Source organism: Homo sapiens, unplaced genomic scaffold (assembly GCF_000001405.40).
Source record: "Homo sapiens unplaced genomic scaffold, GRCh38.p14 Primary Assembly HSCHRUN_RANDOM_CTG25".
Classification (NCBI taxonomy): Eukaryota; Metazoa; Chordata; class Mammalia; order Primates; family Hominidae; genus Homo; species Homo sapiens.
Window position 1 is genome coordinate 67,460 of NT_187503.1, and position 25,722 is coordinate 93,181.

The 25,722-nt window shown below is 51.5% G+C and overlaps 1 protein-coding gene and 1 long non-coding RNA gene across 8 annotated transcripts; one reads left to right on the top strand and one right to left on the bottom strand.

Moving 5' to 3' along the window:
• The first annotated feature begins 1,453 nt into the window (after positions 1-1,453).
• LOC105379561 (uncharacterized) lies at positions 1,454-25,362 on the top strand. 7 transcript variants are annotated; one of them, XM_017030174.2, is made up of 5 exons: positions 1,454-1,750; positions 2,777-2,878; positions 9,326-9,505; positions 17,736-17,863; positions 25,230-25,360. In XM_017030174.2, exons 1-5 carry the CDS (start codon positions 1,658-1,660, stop codon positions 25,258-25,260), a joined length of 534 nt encoding a protein of 177 aa, XP_016885663.1. In that variant the 5' UTR covers positions 1,454-1,657; the 3' UTR covers positions 25,261-25,360. The 7 variants fall into 7 exon arrangements, 4 of the variants coding, with proteins under 4 accessions (XP_016885663.1, XP_016885662.1, XP_011544572.1 ...); XR_001756173.2 differs by lacking the exon at positions 1,454-1,750 and adding an exon at positions 23,898-24,068 and having other exon boundaries at positions 2,074-2,878; positions 25,230-25,362; XM_017030172.2 differs by lacking the exon at positions 1,454-1,750 and having other exon boundaries at positions 2,074-2,878; positions 25,230-25,362.
• Positions 17,394-23,729, bottom strand: LOC124905335 (uncharacterized). Its single transcript, XR_007068557.1, has 2 exons — positions 23,245-23,729; positions 17,394-18,257 (listed from the first exon to the last, which is right to left on the bottom strand). It is a non-coding gene; the product is annotated as an uncharacterized LOC124905335 (long non-coding RNA).
• Positions 25,363-25,722: the final 360 nt, after the last annotated feature.

Sequence of the window (25,722 nt, forward strand, 5' to 3'; positions counted from 1 at the left end):
ACAGAGGACATGTGGACACTACACACACGTTCTCACACAGCACACCCCGTCACACCCATGAACTCACACCGAGAACACAACATCACACACGGGGACTCACGCGCAGAGGACATGTGAACACTACACACATGTTCTCACACAGCACACACCCCGTCACACCCATGAACTCACACCGAGAACACAACATCACACACAGGGACTCACGCACAGAGGACATGTGAACACTACACACACGTTCTCACACAGCACACACCCCGTCACACCCACACCCCCACATGCGTAGACACACACATCCTTACTCTGCGTGCATCCCTGGCCTGGTGGACGGAAGATCGAGCGCTCTGGGTGGACTTACGGCCACAGGACGGGGGCAGAGTCGGCAGGGAGGCCCCTCCGAGGCCCAGTGGGCCCCGCGCTGGCCCCGGCCGCAGACGCCCACCTGCTGCTGTGCTGGCTGCGGCGTGTGCCCCGGGCTCTGCGGCTGACCTGGCCTCCACGTCTCACCCATGAAGCAGGCATGAAAGGCTGGCCAGGTTGGCTAAATGGGACCACAGCAGAAGCATGAGCCCCAGAATGTGCACGAAGGAAGAGAGAGCCGGGGGAGGTGGCGGGCTGGGTGTGCAGAGTGGGCCTGAGCTCCGGCCTCCTCCCTGGACGCCCTCCCGTGGCCGCAGCCATCCCTGCACCCACTGGTGTGGCCTGACCCCTCACCCTGAGCCCACCCTTCGCGGCCACTAGGGAACCTCAGGAGAGGCCGCCGCGGTGGGGTGGGCGGATTCCCCCGGAGCAGGCCCAGGCCCCTGCTCCTGAGCTCTCCTGCAGCGCCGTCTGCTGGCCACAGAGAACCCGCGTGTGCCGGCCGCCAGGCCTGGGCATCTCCTCTCCTGCAGCGCCGCCTGCTGGCCACAGAGAACCCGCGTGCGCCGGCCGCCTGGCCTGGGCATCTCCTCTCCTGCAGCGCCGCCTGCTGGCCACAGAGAGCCCACGTGCGCCGGCCGCCAGGCCTGGGCATCTCCTCTCCTGCAGCGCCGCCTGCTGGCCACAGAGAACCCGCGTGCGCCGGCCGCCAGGCCTGGGCATCTCCTCTCCTGCAGCGCCGCCTGCTGGCCACAGAGAACCCGCGTGCGCCGGCCGCCAGGCCTGGGCATCTCCTCTCCTGCAGCGCCGCCTGCTGGCCACAGAGAACCCGCGTGCGCCGGCCGCCTGGCCTGGGCATCTCCTCTCCTGCAGCGCCGCCTGCTGGCCACAGAGAACCCGCGTGTGCCGGCCGCCAGGCCTGGGCATCTCCTCTCCTGCAGCGCCGCCTGCTGGCCACAGAGAACCCACGTGTGCCGGCCGCCAGGCCTGGGCATCTCCTCTCCTGCAGCGCCGCCTGCTGGCCACAGAGAACCCACGTGCGCCGGCCGCCTGGCCTGGGCATCTCCTCTCCTGCAGCGCCGCCTGCTGGCCACAGAGAACCCGCGTGCGCCGGCCGCCAGGCCTGGGCATCTCCCCGGGCCCTAGTTCCCCCCCTCACCTAAGGGGAGGGACTCCCGTCTTTCCATCCACCCCCTCCTTGCCTCTGCAGAGCTCCAGGGAAGGCTGGCACCCGCTCACTGCATTTAGACTCCATCAGGTTCAGACAGTGGGTCAGGGTACAAGGCTTCAGCGGCCAGGGATGTGGCCTCTAATTTGTAGAGAGAAAGAAGGGCAGAGGCAAAGGTTTGGGCCCAGGGACTGGGCTCCGTTTCCAGAATCACTCTTGGAGCTGGTGAGCAGAGGGCTGGACACTGCCCTCCATGACCAGCACTGCCCTCCACCCTAGCTCACTCCCCTAGCTGGCCCAGGGGTTCAGGCTTTCCTTTCATAAAGTGGGGTCCAGGAAAGGCAAAACCTCCTCCCCTGGGCCACACGAACCGTGGTGCACAGGCTCCCACTAGGTGGGCCAGTCAGCTCATCCCATGGACACACCAGGGGCATCGAGAAAGGAATAGCGACCTGAACCCCATACCCGAAGGGTGGCCCTCAGGACCCCCAAGGCAGGGAACAGGCTGCAGAGGGTTTGGGGGAGCATCTTGGTGCATAGAAAACAAACACTCTGGGAAGCTGCTGTGAGTGTGTGTGGCTCTCAGGCCTGTTCTGTCCTGGGTGCGCTGCGTTCCCCAGGCGGCACCATCTCTCTGCCTCTGTACCCTTGAATTCCCTCTGCCTGCACCCGGTCCCCACCCACCTCCTGCCCAGCCCCACAAGCCCTTCCAGACCACTGCTGGGGCATTCCTGGGCCCCCTCGGTTCTTGGTGACTACCATGCAGTTCTCTATGGAAACTGACTCTCACTGAAAACAAGTGTAACCGTCTACCTAAGAGACTCACACAGAGTTCTCAGCCAGGTCTCCAGGACAATCAGACGCAACTTGTCATTCTCACTCATCCCATCACCCGACTAGCTTCTCAGCCCAGCCCCGGGGGAGGTTTTCCCCTTACTTGAAATGCCTCTTGGATTTGAAAAATCCCAGCGTTCACCCCTGGTGCCGACACTTGCCTCTGTAACCTTCTGCCTGCTGCTTTGCTCTCATCCAGACCGGTTGGCACTTGGACCCCTCTGGCCAGCTGGTTCCCCAGAGACAACCATCTTGCCCACCTTGTGGAAGGCCCCATGGCCTGCGTCACCCCTCACTCCCATTTCACAGCTCTCGTGGTGCTCTACAAGAAAAATCTGCTTTATAGATGAGGAAAGGCCCTTGGGGCAGACAAGACAGTCCCTGTTTGACATAATTCCTTTATCTCTTCTCCCCCAGCTCTGCTGCCCCCTGCCCCATACACGTGATGGAGCAGAAAACGTGCTGTGTGAACCTGTGACTTCAGGGCCTGTTGACGTGGTCGTGCTTGCATACTCTCTGGTGAGGGGTGGGGAGAGGGGGTGGGAGACGGGTAGAAATAGATGAAGTAGATGATGGGTGGATTGCTGGCTAGATAGATGATAGATAGGGATAGGTGGTATATGGGTGATAGGTAACAGGTGATGGATAGATGATAGAAATAGATGATGGATAGATACTTGATAGGCAAATTAGATAATAGATAGCAATAGATGAACTAGATGATAGATGGAAAGGTAGGTAGGTAGATATATGATAGATGGTTGATAGATAAAAATAGATGAAATAGATGGCATGGTTAGATAGGTGGGTAGGTAGATAGATGACAGATAGAAAGACAATAGACCACTGGGGGCTGAGCCTGGCCTGAGCCAGAAAAGTGAGAAGGGGACAGCGGTGAGGACCCCACAGGTCCCTGCTCTCACCCCTATTAGCCCCAGTGTTTGGCCTCAGCTCTGACTGACAGCTCCCTCTTTCCGAGATGAGACTCAAGAGGAGGAAGAGGGGACTTCCTAAGGACAGGGATTCTTGGTGTCTCCTTGGGGGTGGTAGACACTGCCTGCCTCGCCTGCTGTGGCCTCTCTGCACACAACCAACGACCCCTAAAGGGCTCCATGGGCGCCCATGCTGCCCCCATCAGCTGACACCCCCTGTGCGAAGATTCTCCTCCTCCTCTTCCTCCTGCCTTTCTGTCCCCTCATCCTCCTCTTTATGGAATTAACTTCCCTTGGTCAACATCTTCCTGCTTCACTCACTTCCCTAAACTCCTCCCTATCCCTTCTCAATCTGCAAGAAAAATGTAGAAGGAATATGGTAAAGGAAAGCTTTGAGCCCATATTTGGGTCCAATGCCGACACCACATGCCCCAAAGCCCCCTTGAGAGCATCCACGTCCGTGTAGTTGAGTATTGCCCGAGCTGGAGTGAGATTTGCCTCTCTACGGAGCTGCCTTCCTGCAGTTCAAGAGCACTGTCTCTTTTCTGGGCCTCCTGCCTGGTGCAAGGGCCCCAGCTGAGCCTCCTCCAGCTCTGACCTCTGGTGGTTCCGGGCTGCCCCAGAGGGTCTTGCCCAGGCTCTGACACTTGGCATGGTCTGGGAGCTCCAGCAGCCACAGCCCAGCCCTGGGGAGGCTTTGTGGTCTCTGAGGGGGAAGGTGCACTCCCCCAACTCCAGTTCATGTTTTTCCCTCCAACTCTAAGCCTTTTTCTTCCTCTGCTATTACCCAGGCACCCTACCCTGTCAACAACACTGGCCTTCAAGACCCTTTGTAGCATAACTCCCACCTATAACTCCCACCTGAAGCCAGCCCTTCCCACCTCTGCGCCTCTGATGCCCAGGACAGCTCTGACCATGGGCAGCTCTGACCCAGGACAGCTCTGACCTTGGGCAGCCCTGATCTGGGGCAGCTCTGACCTCGAGTAGCTGTGACCCTGGGCAGCTCTGACTCTGGGTAGTCGTGACCCTGGGGAACTCTCAGCACGGGGGTTGCATGCTCCTGTTTAGACAGCTGCTGTCCCCCAAGCTGGCTCACTATCCCATGTTGGAGTGCACTGTTCGGGGCTGCCTGCCTGGATTGATGCAGGGAAACTTGGTTCCAGCCCACCTCCTCCTGCGGAGGCTGAGTCAGGGGCTCTTCCCTCGGCCAGGCTGAAAGGCAGCAGTTGGTCCCCCTGTGAGGTCTTCCACATGGCCTGGGAGAGTCTCCCCATCTCTTCAGGCAGAAGGGAGGACAGTCCATAATGTTCCTTCCAGTCGTCTGATTTGTCATTTTTCTACCCCAAATCTTGCACTTTAACCCCATAGAGAGCTCCTGAAGGGGGAATTTTAACTGGCAAAACTCAGAACTCCATCCAAACACAACCGAAACCATCCTGGGTGGCTTAGAGGTGGCTGCCTCCCAGACAAGTCCATAGCCCCACAGAAACGTCTGGTCCTTCACCTGCCAGAGCTCAGGCTTTTTGGTTGAAGCCGGAGACAGGCCCAGCTCAGAGTGTGCCCCGGTTTATCCTGAACACCGACTTGGTGCGGTGTGTGTGACAGACCAGCGAAGCGGGTCTTGCTGCCTGTCCTGTGGTTGGCCCTTGGCTCCCAGCCTCGAGTCCTACCCTTAGGCCAGGTCAGAGCAGGTTCAGCAGCAGGACTGGCTAGGCACCACCCAGGCTCATGAGGTGGCTTTGTGGGGAGGAAATGAGGTTTTTTTTTTTCTCTTGTAAAGTTGCTTGTTGTTAATTTAAAATTTTAATTTCATTTCTGAATTAACATTCAGCAAAACTGCTATTTTTTGGTGTACAGTTCTATGAGTTTAACACATTTATAGATTCATGTAGCAACACTGTGGATACAGAACAGTTACATCACCCCCAGAACTCCGTTCACAGTCACACTCCCCGACCCAGCCCCGGCAGCTCTCCCTGTGGTTTGTCTTTTGCAGAGGAAATCCCGCAGCTGGCGGCACTTGGAGACCGGCTCCTCGCCGAGCCGACCGCGCGTGCGCGGCTCCCTCCTCGTCCGTGCTGAGCGCCGCGTGGGGTTCCGCGTGGAGGCGCCTGTGCCGCTGAAGCGTGTTTGGGTTGCTTCCAGGGTGGGATGGTTGTTGGATAGAGCTGTTTGTGCATTTGCGTTGTAGGTTTTTGTGTGAACATAAGCTTTTGTTTCTCTCGGGTACATACCCAGAAGTGCAATTGCTGAGTCATGTGGGAAGCGTGTGCCCAACTTTACAGGAAAACGCCACAGGCCGCCCCTTCGCTTTGCGCTCCCGCTAATCGGGAATGAGTGCCTGCTGCTCCGCGTTCTTGCGGGCACCCAGCATTTTCCGTGCTTACATTTCAGCCATCCCGGAATGAATGAAAAGCGTTTCCTAGTGGCTGTAATTTGCATCTCCCTGGTGGCTGATGGAAGCTTATTTCCCATCCATATCCCTTGCTTGGTGACGCATCTGTTCAAGTCCTTCCCCGGTTTGTAACTGGATTATTTGGTGTTTTTACTGTTGGATTTTGAGAGTTCTTTATGTATTCTAGATACAATTCCTTTGCCAGATATGAGATTCACAAATATTTTCTCCAACTCTATGTCTTGTGTTTTCATTCTCTCAACAGTGACTTTTGCAGCATTCATAGGGATTTTATGTTTTCTTCTCAAAGTTTTATAAACCACTATATTTAAAATTTTAATTTAAAAACTATAAACCTATTATAGTTTTTAAATTAAACTGTAAACCTCTTATATAGATTTTCTGTTTAAACTTATGATTCCTTTTAAGTTAATTATTATGTAAGTTGTGAGGGTTGGGTCAAGGCATTCCTTTGCTTAAAATCCCCAGCTTTTCATTTCTCTCAGACAGAAGTCTTGACCTGCAGGGTCAGGCTCCCCTGCTCTCTGAGCTCGCCCTCCCCACGCAGCGCTAGCCCCTGGACTATTCTCACCACTCAGGCCTTGGCCTCCATACCCGCTTGGCACCCACCAAAGGGTCCGGGGACCCCTCCACAGGGCAGCGTTCTGTCTGTGAGGTGAAGCGGGAGCAGAGGGCCAGGCAGAGCCAGGCTGGGACCCAATCTCTGCTTCAGGCTGGTCTTTTTTTTTTTTTTTTTTTTTTGAGACGGAGTCTCGCTGTCGCCCAGGCTGGAGTGCAGTGGCGCGATCTCGGCTCACTGCAAGCACCGCCTCCCGGGTTCACGCCATTCTCCTGCCTCAGCCTCGCGCGTAGCTGGGACTACAGGTGCCTGCCACCATGCCTGGCTAATTTTTTGTATTTTTAGTAGAGACGGGGTTTCACCGTGTTAGCCAGGATGGTCTTGATGTCCTGACCTTGTGATCTGCCCGCCTCGGCCTCCCAAAGTGCTGGGATTACAGGCGTGAGCCACCGCACCTGGCCAGGCTGGTCTTTTTTGCCAGAGTTAGTGTTGTATTGAGGGACATGGAGGGAGAAAAGGGGGTCAGTTAGGGGCAAGTTTACTTGTGCAGGTAACCAGGGTGAGGGCTCGAGGGGAGAAGAGAGATAAGGAGGGCAGAGCTCAGCCAAGTTGGCCTGATGACATGACCAGAATGTGATCACTAGATCCCCTGCCTGGAGGCCCAAGTGTGGCCCCAGGTCTGGATAGTTGCAGCCACTGTGGGGAAGCTTCAGTTTGGGAGCCACAGAAACCAAGAATATTGTCTGGGAAGCTGATGTGCAGAGAGGAGAATGGAGCGGATGGAGGTGCGGTGGGTGAGAGAGACAAAGAGACAGAGAGGAGAGTAAAAGCCTGTTGCTGGCTCCACTATGTTGGGCTTGTCAGCCCAGCTTCTTCTTGTCCCATCCATAAAATGGGCTGGTGTCGCCCATCCTGGTTAGGAGGCACAAGGAAGTATTGCGCTGTGTGCTCGGCCCAGCTGACTCAGCAGCTCTCCAACCTTGGGGACTCTCCAGACAGGTGTGTGCAGGTGAGGTGCTGGACCAAGGAAGGGCAGGTGGAGGACATGGCCGAGGGGAGCTCTGTGAGCTGAGCTGCCTGCTTCGAGGGTGCCCTTGAGGCCCAGGACTGACCCATGGAGGGAGAGGCTTCCTTCCTTCTGTTGGGGCTCAGAAAACAACGCCCCAAAATGAAGTCCTCAGCAGCAGCCTCAGAAGCAAAAGTTGTCTCTGACCTTCTCCTGCCCTCCTGTCTCTCAGTCTCATTCTCCCCGAAGGCGCTGTAGAAACCAGACTCTCTTTTTCCCCAAGGCCGGTCACAGAAATCAGAACCCCTTCTCCCCAAAGCTGGTCAGAAAACCTAAAAATATTACTCAGTGTTCCGTCTACCTTTCTATATAAGAGCTGACTAGAGAGAAATGATCCAACATCCCTTGTTTGACTGTAGGTCATGAGACTGTCATTCCAGAGAGGGCCCTGCCCCACGTCCAGAGAAGAAAATGCTCAGAGACGAAGACAAATCTAGACAGACCTTGCTGGGTTCCCACTCAGTCTATTCACATTAGATCAAGCCCTTTGTGTCCAATCCTTTTTTTAGAGGACTGTTCATACGTTATTAAACCTAAACATAAAAATGGACAATTTCCCCCATCGTTGGGTCTTCGTTCTAAAGGTTCTTATATGTACACATCACATAAATTTGCATACCGTTTCTCCTATTAATCCATCTGTCTCATGTCAGTGACTTCTCAGCAAACCTTTAGGGGCCAAGGGGCCCCACGCTCTCCAGCGGCAGGCACAATGGGCCTGGGGTGCAGTTGTGGACACTCGGACCCTCCTTGGATCTGGTTTAGCTGTGCTGTGTGCTTGTGGGAATGGATTGCCATGATTTCTGGGCTCTAATAAATTGTGCTTCAATCGACTCTTGAGGAGTTAATGAGAGGCCTCACTTCAGACCATAAACACCCTCCCTGTGTGGGATAGAAACACACATCGTCACAGCCAGGAGGTCAGTCGGGTGAGGGTCTGCTTTGCTTACAAGGTCCAGAAACCCAGCAGAAAACCCTCGAGGCCACATCAGTGAAGAGTAACTTATTTCAGCAACATTTCCATGTGTGACACAAGACACACATTTCCTGCATCCACCTTTAAAGTCAAGAAGTTGAAGCTGAATAAAGCCAGCAGGCAGCGAAAATCACCTGCACTCAGTTCAGTTGTGGCAGGAAAGGGAAAGAGCCATGAAGAAAGGAGAGGGGGATGGAGAGGGAGAAAGGAGAGGGGGATGGAGAGGAGAAAGGAGAGGGGGGTGGAGAGGGAGAAAGGAGAGGGGGATAGAGAGGAGAAAGGAGAGGGGGCTAGAGAGGAGAAAGGAGAGGGAGATGGAGAGGGGGATGGAGAGGGGGATGGAGAGGAGAAAGGAGACGGGGATGGAGGGGGGATGGAGAGAAGAAAGGAGAGGAGGGTGGAGAGCGACAGCTGCAGAGGGAGGCAGGGAGGCTGGCTGGGCGTGGACAGCTGCAGAGGGAGGCAGGGGAGGCCGGCTGGGCATGGACGCTGCAGAGGGGACACAGCCACTCTGGCAACAGCAGCCAGTGGCGGATCTGCCTGGAATGCTTTCCCTTCTGTCCAGGATGGGCCTGTCTCTGCAGACAGGGGCCCTCCCCTTCCTGGCCTGGCTGTGCACAGCCTATGTGCATGGTGGAAGCTCTGCAGAGGCCGTTCTGCTCCAGAGTGGGGCATAGCCTCGGGCGAGGTTCACAGCTTGGGGGGCTGGTCCTGCCCTGTCCCACATGTGGCTGTGTGGGCAGCATGGATCTTCTTCCGCGGTGACCCTGTGTGCCCACCCCCCCCAACTTATGCCTGCTTCCCAAGGCCATGGGCCTCACCCTCAGACTTCACTTTTGTGTATATGGAAAGACACAATTATCGGGACAGAAACAGATCAGTATTTGCCAGTGGGTGAGTGAGGGGAGAGGAGTTTACTACTGAGGGGCCGAACTGGGGCCATTTTTGAGGGATGAAAGTCTTCTGTGTGGCTCTACAGAGCTGGGTACGTGATGCTGTGTTTGTCAAACCCCACAGGACTGGACCTCACTGTGGGAACAACAAGATCAACAAGAGGAGCAAGAACAACATCAAGAGTCAGAGCCCGGGGGTCCTGACGGGTACAGGATGGGTACAGACCCACACAGGAATCCCAGAGTGTGTTCCACAGCAGGACACGCCTGCGCTGAAAGAGTGGGCAGAAAGGAGCTGACCTGGGTAAGTCCAAAAACAGTGTTTTGATTAGATTCTGGAAAGAATCAAATAACTCTGCATATCTAAGCACTAAACTCCAATTGGTAAAATTGTTTCCCACAGCAATACATGTTAGCAACTTTGAAACTACTTTTATATATACTAAGGTTTCACAAATAAGTCAATACAGTAGTAAGAGTCAGGGTTCTCACAGCTGGATAAGGAAGTCATGGAAAAGCCAGCGGGGACCCTGAGGTCCATATATAATATATATTATACATATATACAGATCAGAATGGACCCTAAGGTGGTCGGTTATAGACAGATATGCCAGCAGGAACTCATGTTTACATGATACATATATACAGATCAGAATGGACCCTGAGGACCATATATAATATATATTATACATATATACAGATCAGAATGGACCCTGAGGTGGTCGGTTATAGACAGATATGCCAGCAGGAACTCATGTTTACATGATACATATATACAGATCAGAATGGACCCTGAGGTCCATATATAATATATATTATACATATATGCAGATCAGAATGGACCCTGAGGTCCATATATAATATATATTATACATATATACAGATCAGAATGGACCCTGAGGTGGTCAGTTATAGTCAGATATGCCAGCAGGAACTCGTGTTTACATGATACATATATACAGATCAGAATGGACCCTGAGGTGGTCGGTTACAGTCAGATATGCCAGCAGGAACTCGTGTTTACATGATACTTATATACAGATCGGAATGGACCCTGAGGTGGTCAGTTATAGTCAGATATGCCAGTAGGAACTCGTGTTTACATGATACATACATACAGATCAGAATGGACCCTGAGGTGGTCAGTTATAGTCAGATATGCCAGTAGGAACTCATGTTTACATGATACATATATACAGATCAGAATGGACCCTGAGGTGGTCGGTTATAGTCAGATATGCCAGCAGGAACTCGTGTTTACATGATACATATATACAGATCAGAATGGACCCTGAGGTGGTCGGTTACAGTCAGATATGCCAGCAGGAACTCGTGTTTACATGATACTTATATACAGATCGGAATGAACCCTGAGGTGGTCAGTTATAGTCAGATATGCCAGTAGGAAATCATGTTTACATGATACATATATACAGATCAGAATGGACCCTGAGGTGGTCGGTTACAGTCAGATATGCCAGTAGGAAGTTGTGTTTACATGATACATATATACAGATCAGAATGGACCCTGAGGTGGTCAGTTATAGTCAGATATGCCAGCAGGAACTCATGTTTACATAATACATATATACAGATAGGTTAAATATATACACACACACGTGCGTGTGCATACATGGCTTAGCACACACATCTGTAGATCCTGGGTTTGTCCTTTGAGAGGGGACACCCCAGTAGCAGCAAGCACATTCCATGCCCAGATGTTAGTTTCTAAATTTCATCTTCAATAAAAGGAGCCAAGTCTCCCTGGAGAAATGGCTGATAATTGGGATGTGGGAGAGAAAATACAAGATGAACCTGGAGCATCTTGTAGTCCCAGGAAGTAAGAAAATGCTCAAAAATAAAATTTTTAAAAAGCTGTGGGCATTTCAAAAGGGCATGGAACCCAAAATGTAAGAGCTCCCAGTGGCCACAGCTACAATGATTTGAGTGCACACACACTCACACAGACATACACACACACACACACACAAATCGGATTATGCCCCAAAGAATAAAATGAATGTCCATGGATTCGTAAGCATATAAATAAATTATTGAATAAATTAAAACTGAAAGGGTAGCCGGGCGAGGTGGCGAGCGCCTGTAGTCCCAGCTACTGGGGAGGCTGAGGCAGGAGAATGGTGTGAGCCCGGGAGGTGGAGCTTGCAGTGAGCCAAGATCACGCCAATGCACTCCAGCTGGGGTGACAGAGCAAGACTCTGTCTCAAAAACAAAACAAAACAAAAGAAAACAAAAAACTGAAAGGGACAGGCCTTTCTTGGAACAAATTCCAAACAAGAAATGTGGAGTAAATAGGGAAAATCACCATCAGGCTGGGCACAGTGGCTCGTGCCTGTAATCTCAACACTTCGGGAGGCTGAGGCAGGTGGATCACCTGAGGTCAGGAGTTCGAGACCAGCCTAGCCAACATTGTGAAACCGTGTCTCTACAAAAAAATACAAAATTAGCTGGGCCTGGTGACACATGCCTGTAATCTCAGCTACTTGGGAGGCTGAGGCAGGAGAATCGCTTGAACCCGGGAGGTTGCAGTGAGCTGAGATTGTGCCACTGCACTCCAGCCTGGGCAATAAGAGCAAAACTCTGTCTCAAAAAAAAGAAAGAAAGAAAGAAAAGAAAAGAAAAAAAAGAAAATCACCATCAGTGCTGCAGGCAAGCTCCCCTGAGGAATGCTAAAATTCCTGTGCAAAGTTTAAGGAGAAAGAAGATATTTGTATACTGTCAAAGTGTCTCCCCTAAATGTTCAGTAATTACCGCGGTGCCCAAATTCTTTGATGCTCCTTCCTGTAGGAGTTGGAGCTCATGCTGGACTTCATGACTCACTCTTAACCAGCAGGACATGGAGAGGAAAACAGTCACTCTCCCGTGGGGAGACCTGGCAGGCCTCACCTTGGCCGTGTGATCAAGGTCCAGACCACCAGTGATGAGGCATGTTGACATCGTGGCCCCTGAGAGCACGTGATGAGAAGAGCGCTCCACCTCCGCCGTGTTCTTCCGCAAACGCACAGTTCCAATGTAATCAGAGAGAACATCACACACACACCAATTGAGGGGCGTCTTGCAGAATACCTGAGCAGCACTCTGCAAAGCTGTCAAGGCGGTGAAACGAAGACAGGCCAGGAAAGGGTCACAGGTGCAGGGGACTAAGGAGGCGTGAGGGCCAGTGCAGCCTGGGGTCCTGGACGTGAGCTGCCGAGACGGCACCCGTGTGAGTGTCGCAGTTTCCACACCGTGAGCTGCTGAGACGGCACCCGCGTGAGTGTCGCAGTTTCCACACCGTGAGCTGCTGAGACGGCACCCGCGTGAGTGTCGCAGTTTCCACACCGTGAGCTGCTGAGACGGCACCCGCGTGAGTGTCGCAGTTTCCACACCGTGAGCTGCTGAGACGGCACCCGCGTGAGTGCCGCAGTTTCCACACCGTGAGCTGCTGAGACGGCACCCGCGTGAGTGCCGCAGTTTCCACACCGTGAGCTGCTGAGACGGCACCCGCGTGAGTGCCGCAGTTTCCACACCGTGAGCTGCTGAGACGGCACCCGCGTGAGTGTCGCAGTTTCCACACCGTGAGCTGCTGAGACGGCACCCGCGTGAGTGTCGCAGTTTCCACACCGTGAGCTGCTGAGACGGCACCCGCGTGAGTGTCGCAGTTTCCACACCGTGAGCTGCTGAGACGGCACCCGCGTGAGTGTCGCAGTTTCCACACCGTGAGCTGCTGAGACGGCACCCGCGTGAGTGTCGCAGTTTCCACACCGTGAGCTGCTGAGACGGCACCCGCGTGAGTGTCGCAGTTTCCACACCGTGAGCTGCTGAGACGGCACCCGCGTGAGTGTCGCAGTTTCCACACCGTGAGCTGCTGAGACGGCACCCGCGTGAGTGTCGCAGTTTCCACACCGTGAGCTGCTGAGACGGCACCCGCGTGAGTGCCGCAGTTTCCACACCGTGAGCTGCTGAGACGGCACCCGCGTGAGTGTCGCAGTTTCCACACCGTGAGCTGCTGAGACGGCACCCGCGTGAGTGTCGCAGTTTCCACACCGTGAGCTGCTGAGACGGCACCCGCGTGAGTGTCGCAGTTTCCACACCGTGAGCTGCTGAGACGGCACCCGCGTGAGTGTCGCAGTTTCCACACCGTGAGCTGCTGAGACGGCACCCGCGTGAGTGTCGCAGTTTCCACACCGTGAGCTGCTGAGACGGCACCCGCGTGAGTGTCGCAGTTTCCACACCGTGAGCTGCTGAGACGGCACCCGCGTGAGTGTCGCAGTTTCCACACCGTGAGCTGCTGAGACGGCACCCGCGTGAGTGTCGCAGTTTCCACACCGTGAGCTGCTGAGACGGCACCCGCGTGAGTGTCGCAGTTTCCACACCGTGAGCTGCTGAGACGGCACCCGCGTGAGTGTCGCAGTTTCCACACCGTGAGCTGCTGAGACGGCACCCGCGTGAGTGTCGCAGTTTCCACACCGTGAGCTGCTGAGACGGCACCCGCGTGAGTGTCGCAGTTTCCACACCGTGAGCTGCTGAGACGGCACCCGCGTGAGTGTCGCAGTTTCCACACCGTGAGCTGCTGAGACGGCACCCGCGTGAGTGTCGCAGTTTCCACACCGTGAGCTGCTGAGACGGCACCCGCGTGAGTGTCGCAGTTTCCACACCGTGAGCTGCTGAGACGGCACCCGCGTGAGTGTCGCAGTTTCCACACCGTGAGCTGCTGAGACGGCACCCGCGTGAGTGTCGCAGTTTCCACACCGTGAGCTGCTGAGACGGCACCCGCGTGAGTGTCGCAGTTTCCACACCGTGAGCTGCTGAGACGGCACCCGCGTGAGTGTCGCAGTTTCCACACCGTGAGCTGCTGAGACGGCACCCGCGTGAGTGTCGCAGTTTCCACACCGTGAGCTGCTGAGACGGCACCCGCGTGAGTGTCGCAGTTTCCACACCGTGAGCTGCTGAGACGGCACCCGCGTGAGTGTCGCAGTTTCCACACCGTGAGCTGCTGAGACGGCACCCGCGTGAGTGTCGCAGTTTCCACACCGTGAGCTGCTGAGACGGCACCCGCGTGAGTGTCGCAGTTTCCACACCGTGAGCTGCTGAGACGGCACCCGCGTGAGTGTCGCAGTTTCCACACCATGAGCTGCTGAGACGGCACCCGCGTGAGTGTCGCAGTTTCCACACCGTGAGCTGCTGAGACGGCACCCGCGTGAGTGTCGCAGTTTCCACACCGTGAGCTGCTGAGACGGCACCCGCGTGAGTGTCGCAGTTTCCACACCGTGAGCTGCTGAGATGGCACCCGCGTGAGTGTCGCAGTTTCTACACCGTGAGCTGCTGAGATGGCACCCATGTGAGTGTCGCAGTTTCTACACCGTGAGCTGCTGAGATGGCACCCATGTGAGTGTCGCAGTTTCCACACCGTGAGCTGCTGAGATGGCACCCATGTGAGTGTCGCAGTTTCTACACCGTGAGCTGCTGAGATGGCACCCATGTGAGTGTCGCAGTTTCCACACGTGCCTCATTGCTGTGTAAGATGCTCAAGTGAGAGGAAGCTGGTGAACGGGTCTGTGGGAAGTTGCTGTACTGTCTTTGCAACTCTTCTGGACATCTTTTTTTTTTTTTTTAAATAAAACATTTTTAACGTGAAAATATGCAGAGCACGGTGGCTCGCACCTGTAATCCCAGCACTTTGGGAGGCCGAGGCAGGTGGATCATGAGGTCAGGAGTTCAAGACCAGCCTAGCCAACATGGTGAAACCCCGTCTCTACTAAGAATACAAAAATTAGCTGGGCGTGGTGATGGGCATCTGTAATCCCAGCTACTCGGGAGGCTGAGGCAGGAGAATCACTTGAACCCGGGAGGCAGAGGTTGCAGTGAGCCGAGATCGCGCCCCTGCACTCCAGCCTGGGTGACAGAGCAAGACTCCATCTCAAAAAAAATAAAGGAAATATGCGTCGTTGGATGCTGTATGACAATCAAGCTACTTATAACAAACAAAATTGAGAATGAAGGTAAATTAAAAATAATTTATAGTCTTTAAAAAGCAGGAACTACAAAATTTACATTTCTGAAAATGGCAGAAAAATCCCACATGGCTGTATATGTATGTGTGAGATTGTGTATGAATGAGCGCATGCATATATTTTTGTGTGTTTGGATTATATGTGTGACGGTGTGCATGAGTGTGTATATGATTTGGGGGTATGTGTGAGTGTGACTGTGTGTATGAGTGTGTATGATTTGTGTGTGAGTGTGTACATGTATACACTAGTGTGCGTATGATTTGGGGGTATGAATGTGAATGTGTACATATGTATTTATGATCTGAGTGTGTATGAGTGTGAATGTGAACATGTGTGTGTGAGTGGGTATATGATTTGGTTGTGTGCAAGTATGAATATGTATTGTGTGCATTAATGTGTATATTTTGGGCTGTGTATGAGTGAATGTGAACATGTGTGCACGAGTGTATATATGATCTGGGTGTGTATGAGTGAGCATGAGTGAACATGTGTGCATGAATGTGAGTATGATTTGGGTGTGTATGAGTGTGAATGTGTGCACGAGTGTATATATGATCTGGGTGTGTATGAGTGAGCATGAATGTGAACATGTGTGCATGAATATATGATATGGGTGTGTATGAGTGTGAATGTGTGCACGAGTGTACAATCGGTGTGTATGAGTGAGCATGAATGTGAACATGTGTGCACGAGTGTATATATGATCTGGGTGTGTAGGAGTGAGCATGAATGTGTATGCACAAGTGTGTGTATGTGTGTATGATCTGGGTGTGTAGGAGTGTGAATACGAACACGTATGCGCAAGTATGTATATGATCTGTGTATGTATGAGTGAGTGTGAATGTGTGCATAAGTGTGTGTATGATCTGGGTATGAGTGATTGTGAATGTGAGCATGTGTGCACGAGTGTGTATATGATCTGGGTGTGTGGGAGTGAGCATGAATGTGTATGCACAAGTGTGTGTATGTGTGTATGATCTGGGTGTGTAGGAGTGTGAATATGAACACGTGTGCACAAATGTGTATATGATCCGAGTGTGTAGGAGTGAGTGTGAATGTGAACATGTTTGCACGTGTGTATATGATATGGGTGCATGTGTGGGTGTGTTTGTGCAGGTGCACTGGGAGCTTTCAGCCTTGAGTCTGTGTGGCATCCAGGCTTTTCTGGATGATGTAGAATCAAACCCCATAATTAATTCCAGTAACTTAGAAATTTTCACTTATGAATACTAAATTCTCCTCACCTAGCAACTGACTGAGCAGGTTGAACAGCACCCTTCGCCGTTCTCCTGCAGAACCCCGTGGAATGGCCCTGCTTTCTCAGAGTGCTCCTAGCGGTGATGAGGGAGCCCAGCTCATTGCGGTTCGTGCAGAAGGCTGTGTGCCATCTCCGGGACTGCACGGAGAGGCGGAGGCTCAGGCGTGGGATCTGAGCTCAGTGGGCCCTTTAAGGACCGCTGCCTCCTTTCCTCCCTTTGGCATTCAGCATCGACTTACGATGGCTCCCAGTCACAGTCCTTGTCACTGCCTGGCATTACACAGGGCCACAGTCCCTTAACTGAAACACTTGGGACCAGTTGCATTTTGGAATTCGGAATGTTTCTTGATTTCAGAGAGAGAAGAGGGGATGGACTGTTGGGCAGCCCTGATTAACCCTGCAGCGTCTTGGCTCTAGAGGGGCCTACACGGCTGGGAGCGTCTCGGCTCTAGAGAGGGGCCTGCACTGCCGGGAGCATCTCAGCTCTAGAGAGGGGCCTGCACTGCTGGGAAGCCTACACGGCTGGGAGCGTCTCGGCTCTAGAGCCACAGCTGATGCATGGCAACGATGAGCTCTCCTGCTTAGTGCTGATGTGCCTCAGCCCCTAACCCCACTGGTGTCCAGATGAGGAACTTGAGGCTCAGAGAAGCTAGGTCAAGGTGAACACCAGTGTTGAGTTTCAGCCCCAGGTCTACCTGATGCTGCCTCCACATTGACTGAGTTGGCCTGGTCCATTGTGAGGTCAGGTAGAGCCAGGGCCGAGGTGGGGATGCCAAGGTCCCATGCCGCAAAGACGGGTGGGACGGCACAGGAGCCAGTCATCATCCCCAAAGACACAGCTCCGAATACCTCATCCTGAAATCCCAAAGATCAAAATCCCAAAAGTATAAATCTGGAAAAAATAATGTCGATGTTATTTATTTACATTTTTAAAAGGTATGTATTTGAGAAACATAAAAACACAACAGAACATTTCATAGGCCACTTTACACAATAAAATAGGCAATGATAACAGGTATTTTTGCATAAACACTGAGGTAACTAACGACGGCGGCATGGGTGTAGCAGTTATAAGAAGACAGACCATAAAGAAATAAGTCAAAAGAGAAACGTGTACACGTATATCGCTACGGTTACTAATTGTGTGCACCTAGCCCTGTAGCTGTGGTCATCTGAAATATCAGGGATTTTAGACTTGAGGGATTTTGATCTTTAGGGATTTCAACATTCCACATTATGGTGCTTGGGATTGTGTCTTTCAGGATTATGATCCAAACTCAGCTGGGCCTCCCCTCCCTGCCCCAGGATTGTGGAGTGAGAACGTTGCAGCAGGAGAGAACAACGCAGCAAAGCACAGCAGGGGAACCGGAAATGCTCACCTTTTGACAGGGTACTTTTAGTTCTGGGGCCTTATCTTAAGGATATTCCAACATATACAAAAAGATTCATGCACAGAGATATTTACTTTAGTATTATTTACCATAGGAAAAAAGTTGGAAACAATACATTTTATGTTCTGTAAAATGAAAGAACAGTTAAATAAATCATGGCTCTAAGACGACTCCAGGGCTGTGTACGGAAGTTCAGGGACAGAATCAGTTGAGGCTATTCCACCTGAGCCTAAGCTTCCTCTGCTGTATGTCGGGAATCAGGTGGGGGCCAAGCGAGATCACCACAGTGCAGGCCAGTGTGCAGGGCACAGGTGGGCGCCAGGGAGGGGACGCCGCACAGCCCCATGCTCTCGCCAAAAACGTGCAGCACAATTTGGAAGAAAACATTTCCATCTGTTAATAAAGAACAACGGCCTCTGGTCATAAGTGACACATGACCCTTTGCCTGAGTCTTTTTAAATTTTTCCATATGTTCCATATTTTCTACACCAAATGTAAGCTACTTTCATAATCACAAAAACTTAATGGAAAGAGGAGGAGGAGGACGGGGGTGGGGAGTAGTAGCCATGGGTTCGAGCCCTTCCTCTCTGCATGACTTGGATAACACTGTATATTCACACAGCTATTTCCCCATCTATGAACTTCTGAGGTGCTTTTATTAGTTGATGTCTGGGACCCCTAGGAGCTCTCTTTATACCTCATGATATCAAATGCCCACCTTTCCAGCTCCTCTTGGCCTCCTGCCCTTCCTGGAGGGAGATGCGCTCCCTGGAGCTGCTGACTAGGTGGAAGCAGACTGGCTCCTTCAGTGGGTAGGCCAGCCTGCCTGTCTCCCTAGCCCAGTCCCACCGTGCTGGCCTCAGTGGTGGAGGCAGGCATGGAGCCTTGGAGGAACCACTCCTCCCCAGCCGCCACCAACATTTGTGGCACCGAGAAGCACCCGTGCTATTCCGGACAGGGATGGGGTTGGACACCCATGCATAGGGGACCCTACACTCCTAGGCTTTGCTCTGGGCTAAACAGCAGGTGTGGATTTGGGCCTAGGCCTCGGAGAAGCCATCAGCTAGGGCAGAATTCCCATGTGGGCAGGATTTTATTTAGGAATTCCAGGGCTTTCTGTATTCCAGATTTCCTGTATTGTGCATATGTGCGTGCATGTATGTGCCCTCAGCCATGATGTAAAGTGTTTTTCTGGCTGGGGTTGCATCACAGAGTTTGGAAGCCACTGCTCTGCAGATTCTGAGGACCACCTCCCTTATTTCTCACCAAATTCCCATTTCTTCTGTTTTTGTTCCACCCAATGCAAAAAGCATACTGCCTTCTCTTCTGCATTGGTGGGCAGCGGGTCCTGCAGCTCAGGTTTCTCCAGCCAGGGCCCTGAACGTGAGCCTGGTGGCGTGGGCAGGGGGCTGACTCCATGTGGGCCAAAGGCAACCTATCCAGCTCTTCAGAATGGCTTTTCTCTCCTCCCTATAAAACATATTTTCTCTCCTCCCTATAAAGCCTATTTTTGTATTAGGGTGCTTGTTAAAATGAAAACATGAGATCATTGATGCATAACGAGAAGCCGTGTCATTACTTCCCAGGCCCTGTGCAAGGTGCAAATTGGCGTGTTAGTGGCTGTTTGCATCTTTTCAGTTCCTTTCGTCTTTTCTCCTTATCCTGCCCTTTATATGGTTTCTGCTTTAAGTCAAACATTGTGAGTGGATTGATGGACATATGTGTGTGTGAGCGTGTGTGCACAGATGCATGAGAACTGCAGAGAGAGATGGGAGGTAACCAGGGGGATCACTGTTCTCTTCTTCCCAAACATTAGCGTTAGGCTGTTCCGCTTCTGTTCTTGAGAGGGCACCCACATTACTGCTTGGGAGCCTGGAAATGGCCCCACTGAAGCAGCTCTGAGGCCCTGGACACCCTTTTCCTGGTTGTGGCCAGCTGAGTTGTGCATGGTCCTCCCCGTGGGATGTGCTTGGAGCATCTGCTGGTAGCAGAGCCTCAGTTCCTCTCCTGCGTTCTTTCGCTACAGGTGTTAGACCTGCTGCCCACCTGTGACCTGTTTACTGCCAGGGATAGACCTGTGGCCAGTGTGGAAAGCGAGATGCTTTGTCCATACAGCCTGCGGGGCTCAGCCTTCCCGGGGTTGCCCACAGCTAGGCTGGGCCAGGACCCCCAAGCCTGGGAACTTACACCTTTCTCACCTGCTTTCCTAAAGGTGGTTTTCCTTTGTGATCTCTCTCCCTGAACGGCTAAACCACACTCTGAATAGAAAACTGTCTTGAAAACTGCTTTGCACGTACATCTGATAAGGTCCTCTGGAGGGCGACCTCCACTGTCTAGTGGGCGAGGATTGTTCAGCCGTCTTGGCTGAGTCACCGAGCTGCCAAGGGCAGACTGTACCCTGGGCTCACCAGCATGCAAAGATATTTTATTCATTTATTTATTCCATAAATATATATTTATATTATTTATATTTAGAGCCAGTGTATCTCTCTGTCGCTCAGGCTGGAGTGCAGTGGCACTATCTCACTGCAGCCTCAAGCTCCCGGGCTCAAGGAATCCTCCTACTTTGTCCTCCCAAACAAAAATATTTTTAAGGAGCCCACTAGGAGAGTGCTGAGTTTAAAATCTAAGTTCTTGTTTCTTTTTTCTTTTTCACTGATGCATAATAGATGTACATAGTTTCAGGGTACATGTGATAGTTTAATGCATTCATATAATTGTGAAAATCAAATCAGCCTACTTGGAATATCTATCGCCTTAAATATTTGTTTTTGCTTTATGCTAGAACCGTTCCGATTCTTCTCTTCTAGCCATTTTGAAATATACAGTAGGCAATTGTCAACTATGATCTATGTAACACTAGGTCTTATTCCTTCTATCAAACCACGTATTTGTACCCTTCAATCAACTTCTCTTTCTCCCCCTCTCCCCGCTACATTTCCCCACCTCTGGTAACCACGCGTCTACCCTCTGTCTTCACGAGAGCTACTTTTTTAGTAGGTGGGAGAGAACATTCAATGTTTGTCTTTCTGTGCTTGGCTTATTTCACTTAACATAATGATCCCTAGTTCCATCTTGTACAAATAACAGGCTGTCGTTCCTCTGTATGGCTGAATAATATTCCACTGTGTATACACACCACGTTCTGTTTATCCATCATCCGCTGATGAACTCAGAGGCTGATTCCGTATTTTGGCGATTGTGAGTAGTCCCGCAGTAAACATGAGAGTGCAGATGTCTTTACGATATATTGATTTTGTTTCTTTTGACTATAGGCCCAGTTAGTGAAATTACTGGATCATACAGCAGTTTTACTTTTAGGTGTTTTTTTTGTTTGTTTGTTTGTTTTTTGAGATGGAGTCTTGCTCTGTCACTAGGCTGGTGTGCAGTGGTGTGATCTTGGCTCACTGCAACCTCTGCCTCCCGGGTTCCTGTGTTTAAGCGATTCCCCTGCCTCAGCCTCCTGAGTAGCTGGGATTTATAGGTGCGCACCACCACGCCCAGCTAATTTTTTGTATTTTAGTAGAGACGGGATTTCACCATGTTGGCCAGGATGGTCTCGATCTCCTGACCTTGTGATCCGCCCGCCTCCACCTCCCAAAGTGCTGGGATTACAGGTGTGAGACACCGCGCCCGGCCAACTTTTATTTATTTATTTATTTTTTAAGGAGGAGTCTTGCTCTGTCACCCAGGCTGGAGTGCAATGGTGCGCTCTCCGCTCACCGCAATCTCCACCTCCTGTGTTCCAGTGATTCTCCTGCCTCAGTCTCCCAAGTAGCTGGGATTACAGGGTCGCACCACCACGCCTGGCTAATTTTTTATATTTTTAGTAGAGATGGGGTTTCATCATGTTGGCCAGGCTGGTCTCAAACTCCTGACCTTGTGATCCCCCTGCTTTGGCCTCCCAAAGTGCTGGGACCACAGGCGTGAGCCACCGTGCCCGGCCCCTTTTGGTTTTTTGAGGAGCCTCCATCTGTTTTCCATAGTGGTTGTACTAATCAACGTTCCCACAACAGTGTGTGAGGGTCCCCCTTTCTCCACATCCTCGCCAGCATCCCTTATTCCCTGCGTTTTTGACGAAAGCCATTTTAACTGAGGTGAGAGAAGACCTCATTGCAGTTTTTTATTTGCGTTTCTCTGATGATTAGTGATGTTGAGCATTTTTTCATGTACCTGCTGGCCATTTGTACATCTTCTTTTGAGAAATGTCTACTCAGGTCTCTTGCCCATTTTAAAATTCGATTAATTGTTTGCTATTGTTTGAGCTCCTGGTTATGAATCCCTTGTCAGGTGGGTAGCTTGCAAGTATTTTCTCCCATTCTGTGGGTTGTCTCTTCAGTTTGTTGACTTTTTCCTTTGGTCTGCAGAGGGTTCTTAGCTTGGTGTGATTTCACTTGTCTGTTTTTGCTTTGGTTGCCTGTGCTTTTGGGGCCCTACTGAAAAAGTCTTTGCTGAGAACAATGTCCTGGAGCACTTCCCTAATGTTTTCTTCCAGTAGTTTTATACTTTCAGGTCTCAGTTTTACCTTTAATCCATTCTGATTTGATTTCTGTGTATGGTAAGAGAGACGGGTCTAGTTTCATTCTTCTGCATATCTTTATCTAGTTTCCCCTGCACCACTTATGGAAGAGACCGTCCTTTCGCTCGTATGTTGTTGGTGCCTTTGCTGAAGATGAGCTGGCTGTAAATGTGTGGATTTATATCTGGGTTCTCTATTCTGTTCCACTGGTCTATGTGTCTGTTTTACGTGATTACCAGGCTGATTACCAGGCTGATAGGTTGGCTCATGCCTGTAATCCCAGTACCTTTGGAGGCCCAGGTGGGAGGATCACTTGAAGCCAGGACTTCAAAACCAGCCTGGGCAACAAAGCAGGACCCCATCTCTACAATGTTTTAAAAAATTATTTGGTGCAGTGGCATACACCTGTAGGAGGCTGAGGTGGGAGGATCCTTTGAGCCTAGGAGTTTGAGGCTGCTCTGAGCTGTGATTGTGCTACTGCACTCCAGCCTGGTTGACAGAGCAAGGCCCTGTCTCTTAAAAAAAAAAAAAAAACTATTGCAAGAGGAGAGAGAGAGACTGAATTCAACTCTCAATACAACAGAGACAAGTGGGGATAGCCAATGAGCAGGGTGAGGGAGGTGATGAAAAGTTGTTGAAAGGAGCTTGGTTAGTTAGCAAGGGTGGGGAAGATTCTCACTAAGGACCTTAGCAGCATTCCTTGCTAGCACTGAGCTCAGCAGGCCAAGGATGAGGCTTCATCAAGGAGAAGGCTCAAAGGAGCCTGAGTGGAGTTTGGTCAAGGAGAGCGTCTTTGTCATCCTTGCAATGACTCATTTTATAGGTAATTAAGTAGGGGGTTCAGACAGGTCAAAGACTTACCAAAAAGAGGAAATTGTGTCCATGTGGCTGGTGGCTCACCCCAGGAACTGACAGTGGCTTACTCTCAGAAACTCAGAGTGTGCGTGTCTCTTTGAATCCGTATCTGTGTGTGGGTGGGTGTGTCTGTCTGTGTGCGTGCCTCAGTCTCTTCTGAATTTCTCTCCCAATCCCCGTCTCTCTTTCCTCGGGTTGGTGTTTCCCTCCTGCTGGCCTCTGGCCAGCTATTTCTGGAAGTGTCAGCTGCTCTGTCTTCCTGCCCCTGTCTCCACCATCACGTCTGTGTCTGACTCCCTTTCTTTCCCATACAAAACCCCTAATGGAAGTCCTACTGTTTCTGTAACTGGCCACTGCCTATAACAAATCTTTGCTTAGGTTGTGTTTCTTTGTAGAATAGACTGATGTACTGTGTGCTTGATTTTTACAAGATGAGCACAATACCTTATCTTTCTTCTTTATTAAAAAAAAGGAAAAATCCAAACACAAGATTAATATCTCGTCTTGGACTGTGCCCCGCTCGAGCCTCTCCACATGCAGCCGGAAGGAAAGTGGAGGGAGCTGCTCCTTTCCGTAGCCGGGGTGCCCACCCCAACCAGGCTGCCTCTGCCACCCAAGACAGAGGTTCTCTGATAATAATTTGTGGGGCTTGTTTCCAGAGACCACACCTGAAGCTGCCAACTCCCCGGAGGGAAGGTCCTGATTAATGGCCGATGAATTTCTCCTTAAGGCCCTGAAACTGCCTACTCAGAACCAAGCCAGTTTTTCCTGCCTGTCCTGTTTGGGCAGGCAGAGGAGGCAGCTAGAAACCCATTATGCAGGGGATGGGGGTAAGTGGAGGAGGGAGGGGTCGGGGGAGGAGTGGGGAGGAGGAGGAGGGAAACAGGAAACCCCAGGCTTTGGCTATGATGGGGTCAGCCTTTCTACACCATTCCGGGATGCTGGTGTCCACCACTGCTGCCTGGGCACGGGGAACAGAGAATCTGCCTGGTGGGAGCAGACAAGAGGTTCGAGGACCAGAGCTCATCCTCTTCGGTGTGTGCCTGGGAGGAGGTGTAGGTGCAGCCAGTGGGGTATGATTAAAAAGAAGGGACGCGAGTTTAGGGGACAGCCGCCCACGTGCACCAGCTCTCCGTGTGCCAAAATCTTGCCTGTCAGGGACCAGGATCCCACTTCACAGTTAGCAAATAGCAGCTCAGGGACATTAAGCAACTCGCCCAGCATCCCACCAGCAGACAGTCTCACCTTCAGGGTCGTCTGTGTCTGTTAAAGTCGAGTCTAGTTTCGGGTCTCAGAGCACCTCCCTAAAGCTGCCGTAAACCAAGAATAAAATTCTAAGCCCCACAGCCGATCGCGTGGACCCCGCCTCTGGGCCAAAGGGATTCCAGAGAAACCTGAAGAACTAGTTCAGGCCGTGATGAGGAGGAGTGGGGGCTGGACAGGCCTCATTGTACCCTCCTCCCTTTGGAATTTGGGCAGAACTGACCAGAACCAACATTAAAAGAGAGATCTGAAGACTGACAAGGCTCTCTAGCAATAAGATACCAAATTCCAACCTGACTCCAGTGCAGCATCACATGACAGACAGAGGCCATGAAATCAATATTTTACCTCAAAATATATTTCTTTGACATACTTTGAAATGGCCCTGCCAAGCTGTCTCTTGTGGGGGACATTTACATTCTGTAGAGAATCCCTTCCCTTTCCAGGTCTTTCTCTGATCCTGAAGACATTGGCTGAGAGCCTAGCACCTTCTATGGGTCTGAACAGGAAACATTTGCCATCTATTGTCTCTAAGGGTGGCCACCTATGAAACTTCATCTACATAATAAGAACCTTGGTCTGCACAGTCTCTTATCTTAACCCAGACTCTCCTTTCTATTGATAGCAGGTCTGTAGATAATAATTCTTTCAACCAACTGAGAATCAGAAAATCTTTGAATCTATCTATGACCTGTAAACCCCATTACTTTGAATTTTCCTCCTTCCAGACCAAACCAATGCACAACTCCTACGTACTGATGGTGGTCTTACGTTTCCCTAAGTTTCTGCCGACTAAACTGTGCACACATTCTCAGGACCTCCTGAAGCTGCGTCACAGGTGCTGATCAAAGAACACAACCAAGGTGAGTGTCAATCATTTCAAGAAATCTGTTTGCAAGGTTAAGGACACACCTGAGAAAAGAACAGAGAACCACAGGAAAAACTGTGGTCCGTGCTTTTCCCAAAGATTGTCTGGGGACCTCAGTAAGTAAAGGGGAGAAGTGTGGGTGTTGGGGAAAGGGGAAGAAGTGGAAAAAATGGGTGTGGGTAAATCAGAGGCAAATGGTTGCATTCTTCTGTCTTTGGTCAGCGTTCACTGAATACACATTTTACATGCGATGGAGGTAGAGGCAGGGATGTAGCTTTTTTATCTTTGTGTAATAGCTATCTTATTTAGGAACCAGATGGGAAGCAGGTTTGCATAAGCCAGTTCCCAGCTTG